The sequence below is a fragment of the Homo sapiens genome, chromosome 18 (genome assembly GCF_000001405.40).
Source record: "Homo sapiens chromosome 18, GRCh38.p14 Primary Assembly".
Lineage (NCBI taxonomy): Eukaryota > Metazoa > Chordata > Mammalia > Primates > Hominidae > Homo > Homo sapiens.
Genome location: NC_000018.10, coordinates 77,255,599 through 77,277,917, shown reverse-complemented (window position 1 = coordinate 77,277,917; position 22,319 = coordinate 77,255,599). Strand labels below are relative to the sequence as shown.

The 22,319-nt window shown below is 42.1% G+C and overlaps 1 protein-coding gene across 2 annotated transcripts in view; it reads right to left on the bottom strand.

The window, feature by feature from the left end:
* Positions 1-17: 17 nt before the first annotated feature.
* Positions 18-22,319, bottom strand: part of GALR1 (galanin receptor 1) — a 28,053-nt gene continuing 5,751 nt past the window's right edge. Inside the window, exons 2-3 of one of the 2 annotated variants that reach the window (NM_001480.4) lie at positions 21,695-21,760; positions 18-9,333 (exon numbers count right to left, since the gene is read on the bottom strand). In NM_001480.4, coding sequence (NP_001471.2) covers positions 9,016-9,333; positions 21,695-21,760 — 384 coding nt within the window. In that variant the 3' untranslated portion in view covers positions 18-9,015. Of the gene's footprint in view, positions 9,334-12,325; positions 12,464-21,694; positions 21,761-22,319 lie in introns of those variants that run through there. The other variant, XM_017025691.2, reaches the window with a different exon arrangement.

The following is a 22,319-nucleotide window of genomic DNA, read 5'->3' as shown; positions in this document are numbered from 1 at the left end:
ACTCTTAAACTAGAGCATTTTGAGGAACAAATTTTATTTTCAATGCAAGAAAACTGGTTCCATCACAAAGGCCAATTATATTTCATGCAGAACACAGAGGTAGGATGATGGAGGATGACTAGATTTGGCATTAACTGGATTAATACAAACTCTTAGTTTTTGGCTTTTGGCTTTGTCAGCTTACTGGCATTCATGCTAGATCTATAAATAATGAGATAAATTGTATGGCCAGCTCTCTAGAGAATAATTATAACAGTATCTGGCATAAGAAGATCCACATTCAGCACTGCTTTCATATCAGCATTTAAACAATCACGTTGTATTAGTCCGTTTTCACATTGCTGATAAAGACATACCCGAGACTGGGCAATTTACTAAAGAAAGTGGTTTAATTGACTTACATTTCCAAGTGGTGGGGAAGCCTCACAATCATGGCAGAGAGCAAGGAGGAGCAAGTCACATCTTACATGGATGGCAGCAGGCGAAGAGAGAATGTACCAGCAGGGGAAATGCTAGATGCTTATAAAACCATCAGATCTCCTGAGAACTCACTATCGCAAGAACAGTATGAGAGAAACCGGCCCCATAATTCAATTATCTCCACCTGCTGGTCCTTGACACGTGAGGATTATTACAATTCAAGGTGAGATTTGGGTGGAGACACAGAGCCAAACCATATCAAACCTTATTAAAATTTAAAAATACAGTACACATAGATTTTTTTTCCTTACTCATACTACTTATGTTATCAGAAGATACTTAATTTAAAAACTTTAAGTACAGGGAAAGTTTATTTATCTCTTAGAGATAATAATGTAGTTAAAAATTAGCAGTCACATAGAAAGACATGCAAATATTTAAACACTGAGTTTAAACACTGGGTTCAAAACTTCACATCTAACAATTTTGAGTACTATTTTAACCCTTAGCATTTGAGGGAAACAAATTGAATGCATAGGTGCTCTTTTCCACCAAGCTATTTTATTTTATTTTTTTGAGGCAAAAATTATAACAATCTCTGAAAGTCTTACAAGTTATTAAACTCCTTCATGCTTTTGAAAACTTACAAATTTCTGTAGCTAGGGTAATGTAATAGTTAAACAGATATTTTATGGATCTGATCAATGTAAGCAATAAAAATTCTGAATGATTTAAATTCCATGTAAACAATTTTTTTCACAGAACCATAGAAGCTTAGACTTTAAAAGACCATCTGCTCAATTTGATTGGTTATCTGCTCTGAAAATACAGACACTGTTTTAAAAAGCCTGGACTCCACCTTCACCTTCAAACCAATTAAATCAGGTAGTAGATCTCACAAGGTGGTCTCTGGACCAGCTGCAAATCGTTGGGCTCCATCCCAAATCTACTGAATGAGAAATTCTGGAGATGTGGCCAACAATCTGCATTCAACAAGCTCTGCAGGTGATTCTGATGCTTGATAAAATATAAGAATCTCTGATCTAAGGTAAGGCCAGAGCATCACGGGTACTTTCAACTGCCCAGCTCATTCAACTGTACAGCCAGTTTCAAACTCACTGACATTTTCCAAATCCTTCTTGTATGCATGAGGATACCAAAGACAGCACTTCCAGTAGCAATGAAAAAACAGAATTCAGACCAAACCCTCAGTATCCTAATGTTCATTTTATCCTTTCTACAATGCTCCACAACTACTCTCCTCACTTAGGCAGATAGAACTGAAGAGATTAAAAGATTTGTTCAATTGTACCCAAGAAAATTTTGGATTTCTATACCTCATTGTCAAATTTTGTGCTATATGGCAATAAAATGTGACTCTTAGAAAACCAAAATATGAAAACTAACATTTACACAACCATTTCTGGCTTATAAATATTTCTAAATTATAATCCAATTTCACTTCAATGGAATGACTAAGTTTGATTCTTTATACATGCTAGCCCTATTTTGAAAATATCTCAAATCTAGGAATCTGTGTATTCACTCAGTGTCTACCATGTAAAAGTTCCTCTAGGCCCCATGAGGCTGTTAAGAACACAGGGCACGCGGGCCTGAGGACGCTACCGAAGCCTCTTTTGTAACCTCGCCCTGAGCCAGAACACTGAGACCTATTTCTGAAGCTACATTGACATACCAGGAAATTCTCTCTAGAAGGAAAATGACATGGTTTCCGTTTTAAAAAACACTCTCATCGTCAAAGCTAGGTGATCCTGACACAATGTTCCCAAACAGCATTTGTGTACCCTGTTTCCTTTCTTTTCAACAAAATGGGCAGATTTCCACTGAAGAGCAACACATTTAGCCCCACTCCCACCCCCACTCTTCTGCTTTCTTGGATCTTTGCTATTTCTAAACAGAGACTTTGTATAACCAGTGACCGCAATGGCAAGTCACATAGCAAGACACCTGTCTATCACGCTGATCGTGTCTTTCACTCAGAGTTGTGTGCTGCCAAGTCCCCACCTATATTTGACCTTCACACATGAACTCTAGACCAGGAATGACAGAAACTCCATTCACCTGCTCAAATCTCCTTAGAGGAGCAGATGCAGTTCCTGGCCAGAGTAAGTCCGAGGGAGGCACACCCATCACAACTCCATCCAACATGCCCGGGCCCAGAGAGCTCCCTGCAGCGGGAGTCAAGACCCAGCATTGGAATTCCTCTCACTGAGCAGACGGACAAATCTCATCTGCTGAGTCATAACATCTCAGAAGTAACGATGCACCCCAGACACCCACAGGGAACGAATTCTCAGAGATGTGGCCCCCGCTGGGTCCAGAACCCCATGCAAGGCCCTCAGGAGGCCACATGCCAACTGACCTGTTCTACAACCAATGCTATGGAGGAATTGCTCACATGATCTGTTATAAAAATAACTTGCTCTTGAAGCTTGCGTTTCTGTTAGATGGAAAAGTATTGGCAGGATAGCCAGGAAAAAAGTCCTAAGTCCAAACAGAACAACAAGGATATAGAGGTCTGAGGCCAAGCCACTTTGTGAACCCCTCAACATTCACAGAAACTGGAAGATCTCAAGTGTAGAAATATGACCAACTTTAAGAAAAGAGTAGGGAAGAATAAAAACAGACATGTGTATAAGTAATAAAAAGAGTGAATGAAGGCATAATCAGAAAGTCAACACAAATAAAGGATGATAGATTTTTTGGATTAGTTGTTCTCTAATGATTCTCAACAAATTATTACGCAGACATCCAAAGGCCAATGGAGGTAAGAATCACCTGGCTGAGCAGAAGAAGAGGAGCTGGGAGCCTGCTTCTGCCATCAGCTTCATTTCTGCACCCTCCCAGCATAGTCAACGGTCCCCAGAGGTCTCCAGAAGTCCCAGTGGTACAAGATGCAGGCTCTAAGAACCAATCAGAAATGATGCTCTGCGATTCCTCAAACAAGGCAGTGAACCCTTAGGTACTTGGCACAAGTCCATTATATACTGAAGGCCTTACACGTCATCTTTGGTATCCCATTGCAGAAGTCCTAGGGGAACGACACTTACACAGTGCAGGCCACACAAACACAAATGGGGCCCTGAGAGCTTTGCCTGCAGAGCCTGGGTGGCACCTGGGGATCTATCTGCCCTTCACTTGGCTTTTGGATGTCTGCCTACTTTGATGCTCACCATACTGGAAAAGTTCTATGTTGGGCCCAGGTCATTCTTCATTCACACCAGCCACAGGACCATCTGCATTTTTCTCCATTATGTGACACCTTGGCTAGATTGCCCAAAAACAAGTGAGCTTGTTTTTGGACAATCTAGCCAGCAAATAAAGGAGCTTCATAGATCACAATGGTCTTTGGAATGATGACACATAAATAGTTCCAGTGTTCATAATCAATATCCAATATTTTGAAATACAGTACTGTGGTATATGGTGTCCCATAGAAAACCCACAGCAGGCCCCGAAATTCATCCGAGTTCATGGGTTACCATAACGATCACCACTACCTGAGAGTCAAAAATTTAAACAGTGGAGCTCAGTTCCAGTCCATTCCATCAGCAAGGGATCTTTTCTTTACTGTGCCTTCTCTAATTGCGGAGAATTTGGAGCTACACAACTTGGCCTGAGAAATCTCTTCTCCAGCAGAAAAGGAGAGGCTTTCTATCCAACAGTGCCAACGAAATCTTGAGCTAACAGTTCAGCTCTTCAAGCAATTGTCTGAGTATGGCAAATGGAGCCAACATTGAAAAGATTCAGAGAGAAAATTCAGCTGAGGTTATTTCCAGTGAATACAAAGATAAAACCCTCACTGGCCACCTTCTTTTTTTTTTTTAATTTTTATTTTTTTGAGACAGAGTTTCACTCTTGTTGCCCAGGCTGGAGTGCAATGGTGCAATCTAGGCTCATTGCAACCTCCACCTCCCGGGTTCAAGCAATTCTCCTGCCTCAACCTCCTGAGTAGCTGGGATCACACATGTGTGCCCCCAGCTAATTTTTGTATTTTTAGTAGAGACGGGTTTTCTCCATGTTGGTCAGGCTGGTCTCGAACTCCCGACCTCAGGTGATCCACCTGCCTCGGCCTCCCAAAGTGCTGGGATTACAGGCATAAGTCACATGCCCGGCCCCACCTTCCCTTCTTATTCATCATTCACGATTATGGCCTCTCCCACTATTTCTGCACCTAGAACAAAACCTGAGAATCATCGGATGCGGGAACAGGGCCTATGGGGAAGGATGGGGAGCATCTGCCCGTGAGTCAGCCCTGTGAGTAGCACCAGGCACCACAGAGAAACGAAAGCCAGGGCCTGCCAAGGTATGTGAGGGTCTTGCCCAGTCAAACAGACATGCTACCCTCAGAACCCCAGGATGGCAGCTAAAGTCAAAAACATGAATGTGAGTGAACCTGCCACACTAAGAAAAGAAACCACCATCTATTATCCACAGCACTTTCACAAGTCGATGAACAAAACATCCTGCTAATGCATCACAATACACGATACACTCTCCTTAGACACCTCTGCCTAATGCAAATACAGCCCCCATCAAAGATGTCTTAAGCATTTTAAATTCTTCCTCAGGCTCAACTTTTCCACTTCTAAAAGAGAAAATATTAAAATATGGTTAAATAAAATCAGATATAATTACCATTTCATAATTTTGTTCTTTCCAGGCCAACATGTAACTATCTGAATTTTAAACCACCTACTTGTTCTTACTACATACAGCTTTTAAAATAAGTAAGTCAATAATTAAACAAGTCATTAACATCTACTTGAGAAATAGCCTTACATGCAACATTTTTAATGGTCAAGAAGAATACGATTACCTTTCATAGAAACCCACTTACAAATTTAAGACATGGAAAATATGTGCAACAGTGAAGATTAAAATTTACAAATTTTAGACAGTAACTTTCCAGAGGAAGTAGCCACATTGATGTATTTTCGCAGTTAGTGACTATGTAGTTTACATACATGTATTTGATAAATCATTTAAAGCAAGAACATGATGAAGCTGCCCAATAGGTTATTTTCCTCAATGTAATGCTGCTTCAGCATGAGCATTTTGGTGTTTACAGATAGCCATGGCCATGACTGAAAAGGAAAGGGATGCTTGGATAAGCTGTCCTCTCCTGCTGAGATCTTGGGTCTCAGTTAACATATTAGAATGATCGCTGCACTGCCTCAAAGCATCTGGGAGAATGCAGGAATGCAATATGATTTCGAGTTGAGCCACAAGAAGTTCTGAGCCTTGCATGACTCATGCAGTTCCTTAAGCATCTCTCCTCCCCACTCTGATTTGTTATATCTGCGCTGAAAGATGAATTTATCTGTGGTAAATATTATCGAGAGGAAATCTGGATAGAAGTGAGTTAGGATAAAAAAGATAAAAGCACAAGAGATTGGGATGGGGCGGAAATGGTTTTACTCCCAATGTGTAAAATAAAACAATTTAGTTAAAAGCAAAAGTAATTTACCTAAAGTATTCAGAAAATGGCCTCAGTCCCCCATGTTGCTGAGTACATACCCGGTCAGAAGAGCACAGAGAATCTGTTTCCTATCCCCAGGATATAGGACAAGAAAACGTTTCCATCCACATCACTGTATTCATCAGCAGGACACTGAAATGGTTGCTTATGCATGTGAAACAGCAAGCATTTCAGCTACTAAATATCCCAAAGCCTGTCTCCTTACGTGAAAGCAAAAAGCCTAGGAAAATAACAGCTGCCTTGGGCACTGAGACAGCCAAATCTGCTTAGAAAGCATCAGTTTTCTTTGAAGTAAACTGAAAATGTGAGTTTCAAGCAGCCTGACTTCAAAGGTATAAGCAATATTTCTCCCTCAACCTGATGCTGGGAGAAAAAGTGTGTCCTTGGGAAGCTGTCTTTATTTAGTGACGGAAAAGAAGGTGCTTCAGAATTGGTCATTGTATATTAGGGGGAAATCTAGCTGGGAAGCAGATGCTTGGCAAACGCAACACACTCCTATACTTCTCTGGTTAATTTCATTCTGTTTACGAGTTCTTCTGAAACTCTTTATTCAGAAAATTTTGTAGAGGTTTAGATCTTTGCAGAAGATGTCATTATCCCTATCAAAATTTGTTTTAGAAGTAGACTCAGCCAAAACTCTGAGTAAGAGGAATTGATTAGAATGACAATATGCAGGAAGTATATCCTATCTAACTGTAAAATGCAACAATTAGCATTTACATTTAGCAAAGTGGCGGGGGGGGGGGGGTTTCAAGCGCAAGCTATTACTTTTTGTACCATGCCTCAAGCTTCAGACGTGCCAGTAGCATCTGGGAAGGACCAAAGGCACAGCACATTTTCGGCATGCCTCTAGAAAATAGCAACATTAGCTACAGTATTTTTTTAAATACTTCCATTTATATGCTTACAGATCAGAAGGAGAAAACAAAGAAATAGCCATGGTGCAAGAAATCATTTCCATTCATGCAAACTCAAACACAACAAGAAGGCACTTCTTTACACAGTTTTGTGAGTTCACACCCAAAGAAGTTGTTCTGGAGTTTGCAACAGCAACTTCAAGTTCCACAAATCACAGGAAGTATCATCGTCAGGATAAAATTTTTCTGCTCCTATATATTTGAATAAAGTGCAAAAAACATTCGATGCAAAGGACATATTCTTTAAGACCCTCACTTACACATAAACACAATTTCTTCTTCTAGTCAACAAACATAATACATCACTTCAAAATCTTTCTAACGTTTTTCTTTCCTTTTATCCAGAGAGTTATTAATAACATTGCAAATGTAAACACTAGTCACTGAAATATGATTAGTGAAAGTAAGTGAATGAGCTAAAAAAATTAGCATGCCAAAGGCTTATGTCAAGTTTGCATTTTTATCTAAAATTTGATGTTTCATGTGGAGTGCTGATTTGGCACAGAGGTACATTACACACACACACACACACACACACACACACACACATATATATATATATTTTAGACAGAGTCTTACTCTGTCATCCAGGCTGAAGTGCAGTGGTGCAGTCTTGACTGACTGCATCCTGGACCTCCCGGGCTCAGGTGATCCCCCACATCAGCCTCCAGAGTAGCTGAAACTACAGGCGTGCGCCACCACACCCAGCTAATTTTTGTATTTTTAGTAGAGACCGAGTTTTGCCATGTTGCCCACACTGGTCTCAAACTCCTGAGCTCAAGTACATTCCACACAGCTGGACCTCCCAAAGTGCTGGAATTACAGGCATGAGCCACTGTGCTTGGCCAAATCCTTTTTAACAAACAAACAAAAAAAAAACTTCTTGCTTTTGTTGCCTCCTAAAACATATCAAAGTCTTACAGTCTGAAAAGTACTTTTCCGATACAAGACAATTTAATATTTTCATGCCATTTTCTCATTGTAAACACACATCAATATAAAATTGTCATGAAAACTACATTTGAAATTCAAATGGTGATGGTTTTAACCCCAAATTAACATTTTTAGAGGAAATAATGTTTGGTGGAAATGTTCATTAAACATCATTACAAATTTAATGAAAAAGCATGCATTTGTACAAGATAGGATACCCCAGGTATATTCAGTCCCATGATTTTTTTTGAATGTCATCTAAATCAAACATGAAATATGCTTTATGTACAGGCATGACCATTACTTCATGTGACTTACTGAATTCTGTCTAGTCTTTGGTCCCATAGAAATTATTATCTACATCAACCTCGCTGATTTTTTTTCATCTCTCTTTTTAGTAGGTTCCATTCAAGGCAAAATGAAAACTTTTGTCAAGTACTAATGTAAAATTTCAAAATCCAGTTTTATTCTCAAAAACTTATTTGCATCTTCCACTGTTAAGACAGTGGTCTCTGACTCTGTTTTGTTAACTCTATAAAGCCAGTTTCACAGGATAAATTTGAATCAACAGTGCCTACTACTGCATCCCAGGTCACCAGTACAACACTGAATTGACTCCTGAGGTAAACCGACTGTATCTCATAATGACAGGCTTCCAAAGCTCTGTGCGCTAGCTACAATTGGAAGCAAATGCCACCTGTGCAAACAGACTTCAGAAAGCCTTCTTTCCACTTAATAGATATGTCTATGTAAATGGCCAAAAAATTCATCATTGTGTGTCCATGATCATATTTTAAAATACATAGTTCACAATATTACTTCTCTTAAAATTAAAGAATTAAAGCTCAAATTTTTTTTTCTAAATAAATTGGCTTTAAAATGTAGACTGCAAATATTCCTGACCATATTGATGGGCCAGTTCACAATCTATGAAGAGTTGAACATATATATGGAATATATATGTTCCCTTTCATGTCTGAAGAGGAATAAAACTGTACAGCATTGTCTTTTGTTTCTGAAACATAATTTAGAACTAAAATAAAATTGAAAAATAATTCTCACTAGACCTAGGAATTTCCTAAATGGATCAAAGTACTTTTTAACACACGTGGGATTTAATTAAAACGACTTGAATTCTTGTTAAGATAACAAGTTGCAGCATCGCTTACTAGCTCATTCTGTTTGTTTCTGTGTCTGGTCCACTTATATGGAAACTCAACCATAAGGATACTCTATCTTTTATCACACATGAGTACAATTGGTTGATGGTGGGGTGTCTATTCGACTTTTACTTTCTTTAGTATCACTCAGGTGTGAATCTTTGCGAATGTGACACTTGAACACTTGTTTATAGGCCTTCCTGAAATTTTCAGAGAGAAATGCATAAATGATAGGATTCACGGAGGAATTGCTGTACGCCAGGCAGTGGGCGGTGATTCTGAAGAGGAAGGAAGCCGGCGTCAGCGGGAAAACTCCAAACTCAGCCCAGAGATGGATGATGTGGTGCGGCAGCCAGGAGATTCCAAACACCACAACCACCACCAGAACTGTCTGTGCAGTCTAGAAAAGAAGAAGAGGAGGAGGAGGAGGAGGAGGAGGAGGCGGTAAGGGAGAAGAAGAAGGAAGGAAATTCATTGATTACAACACAAAAGGAATCCAGCATTTTAAAATACATCCTAAGCTAATTTTATGTATATTTTCATGAGATCAAAAATGGATACTACATCTGCTTTAAGTGTTAACCTTCACTCCCCATAATAATTTTGTTCATAACTTTTCCAAGACCTGTCATTACCTTCCATAGTAATAATTTTGTGATATATGTGAAATGCATTATAGGAAGTATGCTTCAAGTCATGGAACTAGAAAAGTACAAAGTTAGAGACTGTAACTTTTAAACTAGCAAAACTGTTCAAGCATCTCACCCACCGCAGCTGTATCACCAGCAATGCATCTCGGAGGAGCGCTGGACTTTGCTCCAAATAGTCACTTCTATGAGCAGGTGTGTAAGTGTTTATTTCTCCTCGTTAAACTTTGGCAAATTCAAGGCCAAATTACTTGATGCAGCGATGTGTTTCATTTCAGTTTCAGTCTATGGACCGAATTAGTCCCTTTTGCTTTCTTTCATTTTAACTCTTTCTTTGCTGCTCCTAAATCAGAAATACTTAGAAATCAGAGGCAGGGTCTTCGTGTTTCTTTTGTGATTTCTACTGAGCAAATGGTAGGAGGAAGTCATCGCTGGTTAGGGACCTCAACAGGAGAGGACATCAACCTCCTATGCTCAACAAGCATGTGCCTGTATACATGGCCATGGCCTCCTCCACTGGCCACAAACCTATGGGACTGGAATTAAGCCTCAGGGCAACCTCGTCTGTTCCACACATGTTGAAAGACAAGAGCTAGATAGCTTAGTTTGTGATTAATTGAAAACTCTGTCTTTGGATTCAAAGAAAAGGCAATGATCCAATTTATTAAAATGCTTTAATTACGGGAGTCTAGTATTTTTTAAACTATAAAATACAAACCAATCAGTTGGTTCTCTCCTCAAACAGATGGTTCTCTAACAAGTGCAGCTCAAAACCCACACACAACCTCTAGTGCCGCGATGGTCACAACAGAGCCATCGAAACTAGTGGACCGATGATGGGACCACATGCATTATTTCACCGAATGTCCTTTACGACTCTATGAAGCAGATGCTGTCATGACCCACAGGTTGTAGATGAGGAAACTGAGACTCAGGAGGGGAAGAGCAAATGCCCAGTGTCCCACAGCTGAATGCAAAGGTGGGGCTGGCAGCCAGGCCGACATGCTCCCCAGCCCATGCACTGGGCAGCTGAGCTGCAGGGAAAATTCTGGTCATCAAAAGCCACACTTCCCTCTCTGCACCCAACAGGGCTGCTTCTCAAGAAGCATTATGCTAGCTGTGTGGGCAATAAAGGCTGCCATAAGAAAACCTCCATCTCAGTTCCCTGGCGTGAAGGGACAGAGTGCTTCCCCAGCCTCCTCTGTTCGATGGCTTCAGCTTTCTGTTCACTTCACCAGCAAGTTTACTTCTCATAGGAAAAAAGGAACATTAAGCGCAAAGAGGTGCACCTTTCAGCCTCTTGGCCAAAGGTTAGGACTCAAGTAACTTCTTTCTCTCAGACATAGTCCAGGCTGTAATATTTTAGAGCATGCTTGGACATTGGGAGGGGAAGCATCAGAGCGTGAGCTGGCAGCAATCCCACTGATATGGTTTGGCTGTGACCCCACCCAGCTCTCATCTTGAATTGTCATTCCCATAATCTCCACACATAATGGGAGGGACCCAGTGAGAGGTAATTGAATCATGGGGGCAGTTACCTTCATGCTGTTCTCGTGACAGTGAGTTCTCAGGAGATCTGATGGTTTTATAAGGGGTTTCCCCCGACCCTTCACTCTCATTCTTCTCCTTCCTGCTGCCATGTGAAGAAGGACATGTTTGCTTCCCTTTCTGCTATGATTGTAAGTGTCCTGAGGCCTCCCCATCCCTGTGTAACTGTGAGTCAGTTAAACTTCTTTCCTTTATAAATTACCCAGTCTTGAGTATGTCTCTTAGCAGTGTGAGAATGGACTAATACGGTAAATTGGTACTGCAGAGAGTGGGGCACTGCTGTAAAGATACTCAAAAATGTCGAAGCAACTTTGGAACTGGGTAATAGGCAGAGGCTGGAACAGTTTGGATGGCTCAGAAGAAGACAGGAAAATGTTGGAAAGTTTGAAACTTCCTAGAGCCTTGGGGGTGCTGAGAAGACAGGAAGATGTGGGAAATTTTGGAACTTCCTAGAAACTGTTGAATGTCTTTGACCAAAATGGTGATAGTGATATGGACAATGAAGTCCAGGCTAAGGTAGTCTCAGATGGAGATCAGAAACTTCTTGGGAACTGGAGTAAAGGTCACTCTTGCTATGCTTTAGCAAAGAGACTGGTGGCATTTTGCCCTTGCCCTAGAGATCTGTGGAACTTTGAACTTGAGAGAGATGGTTTGGAATTGGAACTTACGTTTATAAGGGAAGCAAAGCATATAAACGTTTGGAAAATTTGCAACCTGATCATGCAATAGAAAAGAAAAAAACGCATTTTTGGAGGAGAAATTCAAGCAGGCTGCAGAAATTTGCATAAATAATGAGAAGCCAAATGTTAATCACCAAGACAATAGGGAAAATGTTTCCAGGGCACATCAGAGGTCTTCATGGCAGCCTTTCCCATCACACACCCAGAGGCCTAGGAGGAAAAGTGGTTTCATGTCCAAGCCCAGGGCCTTGCTTCTTTGTGTAGTCTTGGGGTTTGGTGTCCTGTGTCCCAGCTGTGGCTAATAGGGGCCAACATATAGCTCAAGCCATCGCTTTAGCAGGTGTAAGCCCCAAGCCTTGGCAGCTTACCCATGAGGTTGGGCCTGCAGGTGCACGGAAGTCAAGAATTGAGGTTGGGGAACCTCCATCTAGATTTCAGAGGATGTATGGAAATGCTTGGATGCCCAGGCAGAAGTCTACTGCAGGGGCAGAGTCCTTATGGAGAACCTCTGCTGGGGCAGTACAGAATGGAAATGTGGGGTCAGAGCTCCCACACAGACTCCCCACTGGGGCATTACCTAGTGGATCTGTGAGAAGAGGGCCACCATCCTCCAGACCCCAGAATGGTAGATCCATCCAAAGCTTGCACCCTGCACCTGGAAAAGCCATAGACACTCAACATCAGCCATGAAGGCAGCCCGGAAGGGGGCTATGCCCTGCAAAGCCACAGGGGAGGAGCTACCCAAGGCCATGGGAGCCCACCTCTTGCATCAGTGTGACCTGGACGTGAAACATGGAGTCCAAGGAGATCATTTTGGAGCTTTAAGATTTGGCTGCTCCACTGGATTTCAGATTTGCATGGGGCCTGTAGCCTCTTTGTTTTGGCTAATTTCTCCTATTTGGAATGGTTGTATTTCCCCAATGCCTGTACTCCCATTGTATCTAGGAAGTATAATAGGTACGTGCTTTTGATTGTAAAGGCTTATAGGCAAAAGGGACTTGCCTTGTCTCAGATGAGACTTTGAACTCAGACTGTTGAGTTAATGCTGGAATGAGTTAAGATTTTGGGGGAATGCTGGAAGGGCATGATTGTGTTTTGAAATGTGAGGACATGAGATTTGGGAGGGGCCAGGAGCAGTAAGACATGGTTTGGCTCTGTGTTCCCACCCAAATCTTATCTTGAATTGTAGTTCCTATAATCCCCATGTGTGGTGGCAGGAACCCAAAAGGAGGTAACTGAATCATGAGGGCAGTTACCTTCATGCTATTCTCATGATAGCGAATGAGTTCTCATGAGATCTGATGGTTTTATAGGGGCTTTTCCCACCCTTTACTCTCATTCTTCTCCTTCCTGCTGCCATATGAAGGACGTGTTTGCTTTCCCTTCCACCATAATTGTAAGTTTCCTGAGGCCTCCCCAGCCCTGTGGAAGTGTGAGTCAATTAAACATCTTTTCTTTATAAATTACCCAGTCTTGGGTATGTCTTTATTAGCAGTGCAAGAACAGACTAATATACCCACTCTCTTCCCAGACCTCACTGGGTTTCATGGAGCAGGAAAGCAGACCCCCTCCCCTGGCCTTCCCATCACAGCATACAGATGTGATGAAGGGTTTACCTGTGGCCACCAGTCTGTTTTCTAAACAGAAATACTCTAAAATGGATAAGTGGGAGAAGAAAAGTTGGGGGGAACGAAGAGAAAGAGAAAAAGAATGAAAATAAACAGAGCCTTATTTTTCTTATAACTTCACATGGAGGGAAGACTAAGACATGGGAAAGTGACTCCATGACTGAGACAGCACTGTCCCACCACAGATTTTCCCTTGGGACATAGGACTTCCTACAGTGATCCTGCATGGACCTCACACCCTGCAGGACTATCACAGGGCAGTGGGAACCACAGCTCCACACTGCTAGGAGGGGAAATCCTACATAGCAAAAGGATTCTTTTTTTTTTTTTTTTTTTTTTTTTTTTTTTGAGATGGAGTCTCGCTCTGTCACCCAGGCTGGAGTGCAGTGGCACAATCTCGGCTCACTGCAACCTCCATCTCCCACGTTCAAGCGATTCTTCTGCCTCACCTACCTGAGTAGCTGGGATTACAGGTGTGTGCCACCACGCTGGCTAATTTTTGTATTTTTAGTATAGACGGGTTTTCACCATATTGGTCAGGCTAGTCTCAAACTCCTGACCTCATGATCTGTCCGCCTCAGCCTCCCAAAGTGCTGGGATTACAGGCATGAGCCACTGTGCCTGGCCAAAAAGACTCTTCTTATCACTTCCCATGAACTGGAGTCCCACTGCAATAGAAATGACAACCAGACTATAACGCATGAGATGCCAGCTCTTCAAGGATTGACATGAGGTAGCAAAGTAAGACGTGAAATGATGTTTATCAAAGAGGGAGACTGGAAGCCAGGAAGCTGTGCCCAGGATCCAGGCAGAGAGAGTAGAGGGAGGGCTAGATCTCAGATCAAGGCCAGGACAAATCCTACTAGCGAGGTGGACAGGAGATGAGAGTTAAGCTCCCTATCGAGAGGCACCAGGGATTGCACAAGACCCCAGGACTGACAGCAGGTCTGTGTTCCCACCTGGCCATGCCATAAGCTGGTTGTATGACCTTTGCAAAATGTCATAAACTCCCTGAGCCTCAACTTCCTCAGCTAAGAATAAGATGAACCAATGAAATGATTCCTAGACCATGCCTCATCTATTTAAACACGACAAACAACTCAGGTATAAAAATCTAAGTACGGGTTTTACAGGGTACAAGCTTACATATTAAAGCCACTTATTGCATGACACACAAAGCAAGCAGATAATGTGCTCACATATATTAAGGGAGTGCCTTCTATCAATCCATTTATCCATTAGTGGATGAGAAATGCCATTCTCAGATGATTTAATCAAAACAATCTAGATATAATTATACCTACAAATAGAATATAAAACATCATCATTTCTTTCTAAGACAATCAGACCATCTCTCTATGTCACAGAATGGTTACCCTCCGGGTATTGCATTTCATTGTTTCTTTTAGACAATTTTACTAAGTACAAAGCAGAAATCTATCCCAGCAGCTTACTGATAAGATCTATGCCTTATCAACATCCACAGGGCAAATGGTAGTGTGCCCTGAGGCCGGAGTGTTTTCTCTGGCAGTGTTTGTTAACTTTGTGTGTCTGTGACTCATTCCAAGTTTACCTTTTAATTTTTACTAGTCCCATTGCTCTTAGAGCCATGGATAAGAATCAGGTTCTTTTTCTTGGTTTACCAGCAGCTTTGAAATGAGATGGAATTACAGTTTGCAACATAAATATCAGGAAAGAAGGCTTAATGGGTATTTGCATAAACTATATCATCTGTCTCAGATTGTTCCCAAAAGAGTTTAATAGAAGGCCTGTCAACACTGACTATCCTCCCAGCTAAATATCTCCAGGGGATTACTATTTTCTTGTTTATCAAGCATCTCAGGCCATTGAAGTTGAAGGCCTCCTGGTTGGTAAAAGCCAACTCCATGCAAACAGGCCCTGGGCACCTGGTCCTGCTATCTTTGAGGTGAGTCCAATTCAGTCGTAGCAATGACAATGTGGCAAATACACCCATGTGCATGGTTGAAAACAGTAGATGATTTTTGTCTTCATTCTTCCCTTGCAACGGATGCTGGTAGAAGATGGGACACGGGGCAAGAAGTTCCATGCCAGTGGAAAACCATCTTTTTTGATTTACTACTGCTCCACACTGTCAAACTCGGGAAACGATATATGCCTAGCATAGACACGCTCAAAGTTAAAGATCTGGCAAAATAATGCACGTGTACTAATTTCAACCCTGGGATTTAAGTAGGTTAGTATGCCCATCCTCAACCAGTGCAAAGCTTTTTTTTTTTTTTTTAATTCGGATAGCTATACCTCATCTCTTATGGCTTTAAAGCAATTGGTAGAGTTTACTAGTTACCCAGGAATCTGCCTTTTTAAAAAGCTCAGCCAGATAACAGTGGCTCATGCCTGTAATCCCACCACTTTGGGAGGCTGAGGCAGGAGGATCGCTTGAGGTCAGGCATTCTAGGCCAGCTTGGACAACATCCTGAGTCCCCACCTTTAAAAAATGTTTTCAAATAACTTAGCCGGGTGCAGCAGTGTGCACGTGTAGTCCCAGCTATGCAGGAGGCTGAGGTGGGAGGATCTCTTGAGCCCACAAAGTTGAGGCTGCAGTGAGCTATGATCACACCACTGCACCCCAGCCTGGGCAACAAAGCAAGACCCCATCCCTAAAAATAAATTTAAAAGGAGCTCAAGAAACTGTTTGGAGAACCACTGATGAATTACATAAAAGTCACAACAAAAGGAAAGTTGTCTTCCCCACCTCAATTTAAAGGCAATAAAAAATGCTTGGTATCAACCCCTAAGGCTGAAGCATCTCCTTTCCTTAGAAAGGGCTGGAAAAGCCACTTCCTTCCTGTCTTTCCCATGGAAACATCAGAAAGTAACATCAGAAAGTAACAAAACACTGAATCTGCAGGAGCGTGATTTTAGACTTCCAAACTCCAGGACTGCAAGAAATACATTTCCGTTGTTTATGGGCCATCCAGGCTGTTGTATTTTCTTATAGCAGCCTGAACAGACTAAGACCAGTGGATACAGCGCAGAGAAAGTAACATAGAGAACTCCCCTCTGTGGAGGACGAGGCTGATTTTTAAAATTTATTTATGACGTGATTCTTTCTACTCTCTTACAGGGTCCTCCGTCTCCGTCAGACGGGCATGTCCCCTGTGTGTGCACTGCTTCCCTCCTTTGTCTATTTAGCGTATAGAATCTCAACATTATCTTTTGATGGAGAAAAAATTATTGTTTAAAATTATGTGCTAAATCTTTATACAAATTCTTCTTACACTTGAGTTTAGGTCTTTTAATAGCATGGTTTCTTTGTGCTCCTTCTGCTGAAAGTATCTGAAAAAATATTAGTCTCTCTTCTTATTGTGAGATGCTCTTTTTCAAATCATCTGAGATGTCTGTTCTTTCTTCAAAGAATTTTACTCACAATATGTCTAATGGAATTTGGCTGGGGAGAAAAGAACTGAATAAAAGGTGAGAATGATAAAAAAAAAAAAAACCTCACAAATTGTATAAATGACATCCAAAAACCTTACTGAATTACTTTAAGCCAAAGAAACAACAAAAAAAGCAAACATTAAAAGAACCCAGTGGCTTGATAGGACATCAAGAGGTCCTTTAATCCAATTTTCTCCAGGAAGCAACCATCCAGTATGGGTGTCTATCCCATTTTGAGGTCTTCCAAGGTTTTAACAATCAGCTTTGAGCCAGAAACATTTCTTTATGTCTAGCAGAGTTTAAGAAAAGCATGTGATCAATCCTAGCCCTTTATTCCTGCAGTAGAAATCCTATTCTTCTTTTGCACTTGCTCCAAACATGGAGAATAACTGTTAGCATGTTTATCATGAAAGACCAATCTCCCCACCCCATAATAATTATAACTCTCAACAGGAAAGCCCCGTATGGACGGCGGCACCATCTCAAAGTTTATGTCCCCACCCCGTCCAAAAAATTCATAAATTGGAACCTAATCACCAAGGTGATGGTATTAACAGGTGGGGCTTTTGGATGGTAATTAGGTCATGAGGTGGGGGGAGCCCTCATAATGGGATCCGTGCCCTTATGAATGGGGGCCTAGAGAGCTGCCTCACACCTCCCACCCTATGAGGACACAGAGACTAGTGCCCTTTTGAAAGAGGCCCAGAGAGCTGCCTTACACCTCCCACCCTATGAATAATGGGACCAGTCCCCTTATGAAAGAGGGCGCAGAGAGCTGCCTTTCACCTTCCACTCTGTGAGGATACAGAGAGAAGGGGCCATCTATGAACCAGAAAACGGCCCTCACCAAACACTGAATCTGCAGGAGCTTGATTTCAGGCTTCCAAGCTTCAGGACTGCAAGAAATAAACTTCCATTGTTTATGAGCCACCCAGACTATGGTATTTTCTTAAAGCAGCCTGAACGTACTAAGACCAGTGGATACAGAGCTGAGAAAGGGAACTTTACTTATACATTGAGAGAAAGGGCTGGAAACAAGTAGCCAAATCCCTGTCACATCTTCCATTACCAATCAAATGATGAACACGTGTGCACCAGTAGCAATTTTCTGTGCTGAGACCTGGGGAAATACCCACGATGGACCAACCCAGTTCCTGTCTTCAGGGAAGTTGCCATGTATTCTTGCTTTCCTTCCCGAGTCTCCCCTGTCTCACCTCTCCTGCCTCTGTCCCCCTCTCTCCGCCACCTCCCTTCTCATCACGCCTCTGCTTCCACACCCTCTTCTTACCCTTTCTCTGCTCCTCTCTCCCATCTCTTTCTTAGACACACACATACCACCACCACCATTACCATCACCACCATCACCACAATTGCCACCATCATCATCACTATTGCCACCACCACCACTGCCACCACTGTCACCACCACCACTGGCACCATCGCCACCACCACCATCACCATCACAATCGCCACCATCACCATCACTGCCATGACCACCATCATCACCACCATCACCACCACCCCTATGACCACCACCACCATCACTACCCACCACCATCACCACCACCACCATCACCATCACAATCGCCACCATCACCACCATCACCACCATGATCACCATCATCACCACCATGACCATCATCACCACCATAACCACCATGACCACCACCAACACCAACACCACCACCACTGTGACCACCACCACCATCCACCACCATCACCACAATCGCCACCATGACCACCATCATCACCACCATCATCACCACCATGACCACCATGACCACCACCAACACCAACACCACCACCACTGTGACCACCACCACCATCCACCACCATCACCACAATCGCCACCATGACCACCATCATCACCACCATCATCACCACCATCATCACCACCATCATCACCACCATGACCACCATGACCACCACCAACACCACCACCACTGTGACCACCACCATCCACCACCATCACCACAATCGCCACCATGACCACCATGACCACCATCATCACCACCATGACCATCATGACCACCACCAACACCAACACCACCACCACTGTGACCACCACCACCATCCACCACCATCACCACAATCGCCACCATGACCACCATGACCACCATCATCACCACCATGACCATCATCACCACCACTACCGCCCACCACCATCACCACTATGACCACCATCATCACCACCATCACCACCACCATCACCACCACCATCACCACCATCACCAGCACCACCACCACTATGACCACCACCACCATCACCACCACCACCACCACCATCACTATCACAATTGCCATCATCACCACCATAACCATCATCACCATCACCACCATCACCAGCACCACCATCACATGACCACCACCACCATCACCATCACCACCATGACCACCACCACCACCACTATGACCACCACCACCATCACCACCATCACCACCACCACCATCACCACCATGACCACCACCATCACCACCATGACCACCACCACCCCCACTATGACCACCACCATCACCACCACAATCGCCACCATCACCACAATGATCACCATCATCACCACCACTACCACCCACCACCATCACCACCACCAATACCACCACCATCATCACCACCACCACCACCACATTTATTTATTCTGTGCAAACAAGGAGGCAATTAAATACATCAACAAAGATCTGACATCTGTTCAGTAGCTGTTAAGGGTCAGAGGCTGTGAAAACGAAAAAGAAAATCTTCATCCCTTCTTCAAATGCTAGATCCTCATGGTAAGAATAAGCAAAAGATAATTTTATATAGATATATTTAGTATATGTATATATGTAAGCACATATGTATTATATATACATATACTCACATAAATCTAAATATTTGTGTATATATGTGTATGTGTATATAACTAATGACTGAACTAATCACTGATCTTTAGGTTTTTTATTGTAAAATAAAATAGAAGCTTTTCTAATCATTTTTATAAGACCTATTTTTTCAGTATTTTGTTCTTCTCTGAGACCTTCACAATTTCTCTCCAATACTTTTTCAAATATGGAGACTAAAACTACCATCGACACAAGTAAGATTCAGCAAATGTTAAATAAATGTTTGGTTTTATTTCTTTTGGTAAGCATAAAATCTTTTGAATCATTAACACACATTTATCACAGATCAATGGTGTCTTCTCAGTTAAAGTTTGACGAGCCCAATCCCTCCCAAGGGAAATTAATCTCTCCCTTCCCTGATGCTCCAAACACTGCCCCCTTGAACAGGCCTCTGGGACTCACACATTGATCTCTTCCATTACAATGTTGGCTTCCATGCGGAGCCAGTTCCTCTTAGAATCCCCTGGATCGGCTTGGTCCTACACAGAGCAGGTGCTCTAAAAATAACTGTCCTAGGAGAAGTCAGAAACTATCCTTAATTGTCTTTAAAGAACCATTGTCTTAGAAATAAGAAGTGTGACTCAGAGGAAAAATCAATAGATATACCAGAAAAATGGAAAATCTCTACCATAACAGCACATCACTAAAAAGAGAGGAGGAAAGCACCAACTTACAGGGTTTATTCCATTCATATAACTTAGCACTTGGTCAGCTGCTCTAATGCGGGGCCTAGATGCCTAAAATGAAATATTCATAATAATTGTTCAGATGTAAGAAAGGATCAATGGAATAAAGCCATAGCATGGTCTTGTTATTTATACTGCACCTTGTATTCTTAGGTGGTTATCCTAAACACTGTATGATTGCATTTCTAACATAAGCTAATTTTTTGCTGCCAGGGAAAAAAAAAAGTCTTAATGTTTGTGCTCTATAACCAATTCTCTACCACTGGTTTTGACTCTGGACTATCAGATGGCTTTTTAGCCACATTACTGTTCATAAAGAAGGAAAGTCAGGAAGAGCTGTCCTTTATTCAAGTAGAATTTTTAAGTAAACATGATTAAACATGATCTAAACTATAATTTCTATAAATTAGGTATGTCATTGATCATAATAAATATAAGGAAAAAACAAGGTATTTTAAGATGTTATTATTACACTTTTGGGTTAAAATATCTGGTTATAACCTCCTACTCCTTAGTCATATTGCCTAATAATCTCATTCTACTTCCTAAAATTAGAAGCTATATAGATATTTTCTGAGTAAGAGTTCATTTAACCTTGATTTGTGAAATAGTTTTCCCCCAAAATGTAGAATATCATGACCATCAATAAGTTAGATGCTGTAATACCACTCAGGAGAAGCTTGTTTAAATCGGGGCTGGGGGATGAGAAAGTCAGTTAGCAACGGGAGGAATCTGCTTTCAGCCTTGTCCACTCTTCAGTCTTTACCTGCCGGGTCAGAGTCAGCACATGTGGGTGAAAGAGGCAAGAATGGCCCAGCACTCTGGTGGCTTTAGGGAGGGATTATAACAATGTTGTCTTAAACAAGAACCAAACCAGGGCTTTTCGGAATCACATCAGAGATTGAAAACATAAAACAAAATGACTATACTTTCCCTCTAAGTATGCATGTCAGCAACTCTGCACTCTGCACTCTGTCTCAGTCAACCTAAGTGCACTCACCTCCTGGTGAGGCGCACAATCAGCAGAATCCGCATTTCCTCATCTCCCCAGATCTTCAGCTAAGTTTGAATGCAGCACGGAGTGACCCACGGTGCCCTTGCCAAGGCCGACCCTCCATTCCCATCCTAACGGTGGGAGGCTCATCTCAAACCTCCTTAGCCACACCAAGGGTCCTAAATGTTACAGGCTTTGGATGGACGTGAGGACAAGTAAAAAAAACAAAGGTAAACTAAGCTCTGAAAAGTAACATATATATATATATTTGTGATCATTACCTTTTTCTTGGATGCTTCAGACTTCTTTGACATGTTCTTCAACTTTTTATGCAAGTGATTAAGGACCTGAAAGACACAGACTATTGAAATCAGTTCGCCTCACCTCTCATAACCCACTGCCTATGTTGCATTAACAATTATTGACATGCTGAAATGGTAACATCACTATTTATAAGATCATTAAAATAAAAACTCAAATTAGGTAATTAGGTAACAATGAACATGAGTTGCCAAATACATTCTTTTCTAACACTTAGGAGCAGCCAGGAAGGCTGATGCACAGCCAGACAAGTTCACAGCCATAGCACCTGTTTGCAGAGAATGCCCAGGGCGTGGAGCTCTGGGGTTTTGCCCAGAAACAGCCATGCCATGACCCACTCAGGTGTGCTTATTACACTATTGTCTTCCTTGGTTTCTTCCAGGACCCCATATATTAATAAACACCAGGTCCCTGCTACATGTCAGGCACAAAGTTAGATCCTGGATGCATCGAAAAACTAGAGATTTGCCCTTCCAAAATTCACCATCTGATGCGGAAAGCAGGCAAGTAAACAAATGAAGATAATATCATCAGACATTTCTTCAGTGCAGCCAACCCAAATATTGCCAGCGTTTGTGCCAAAAT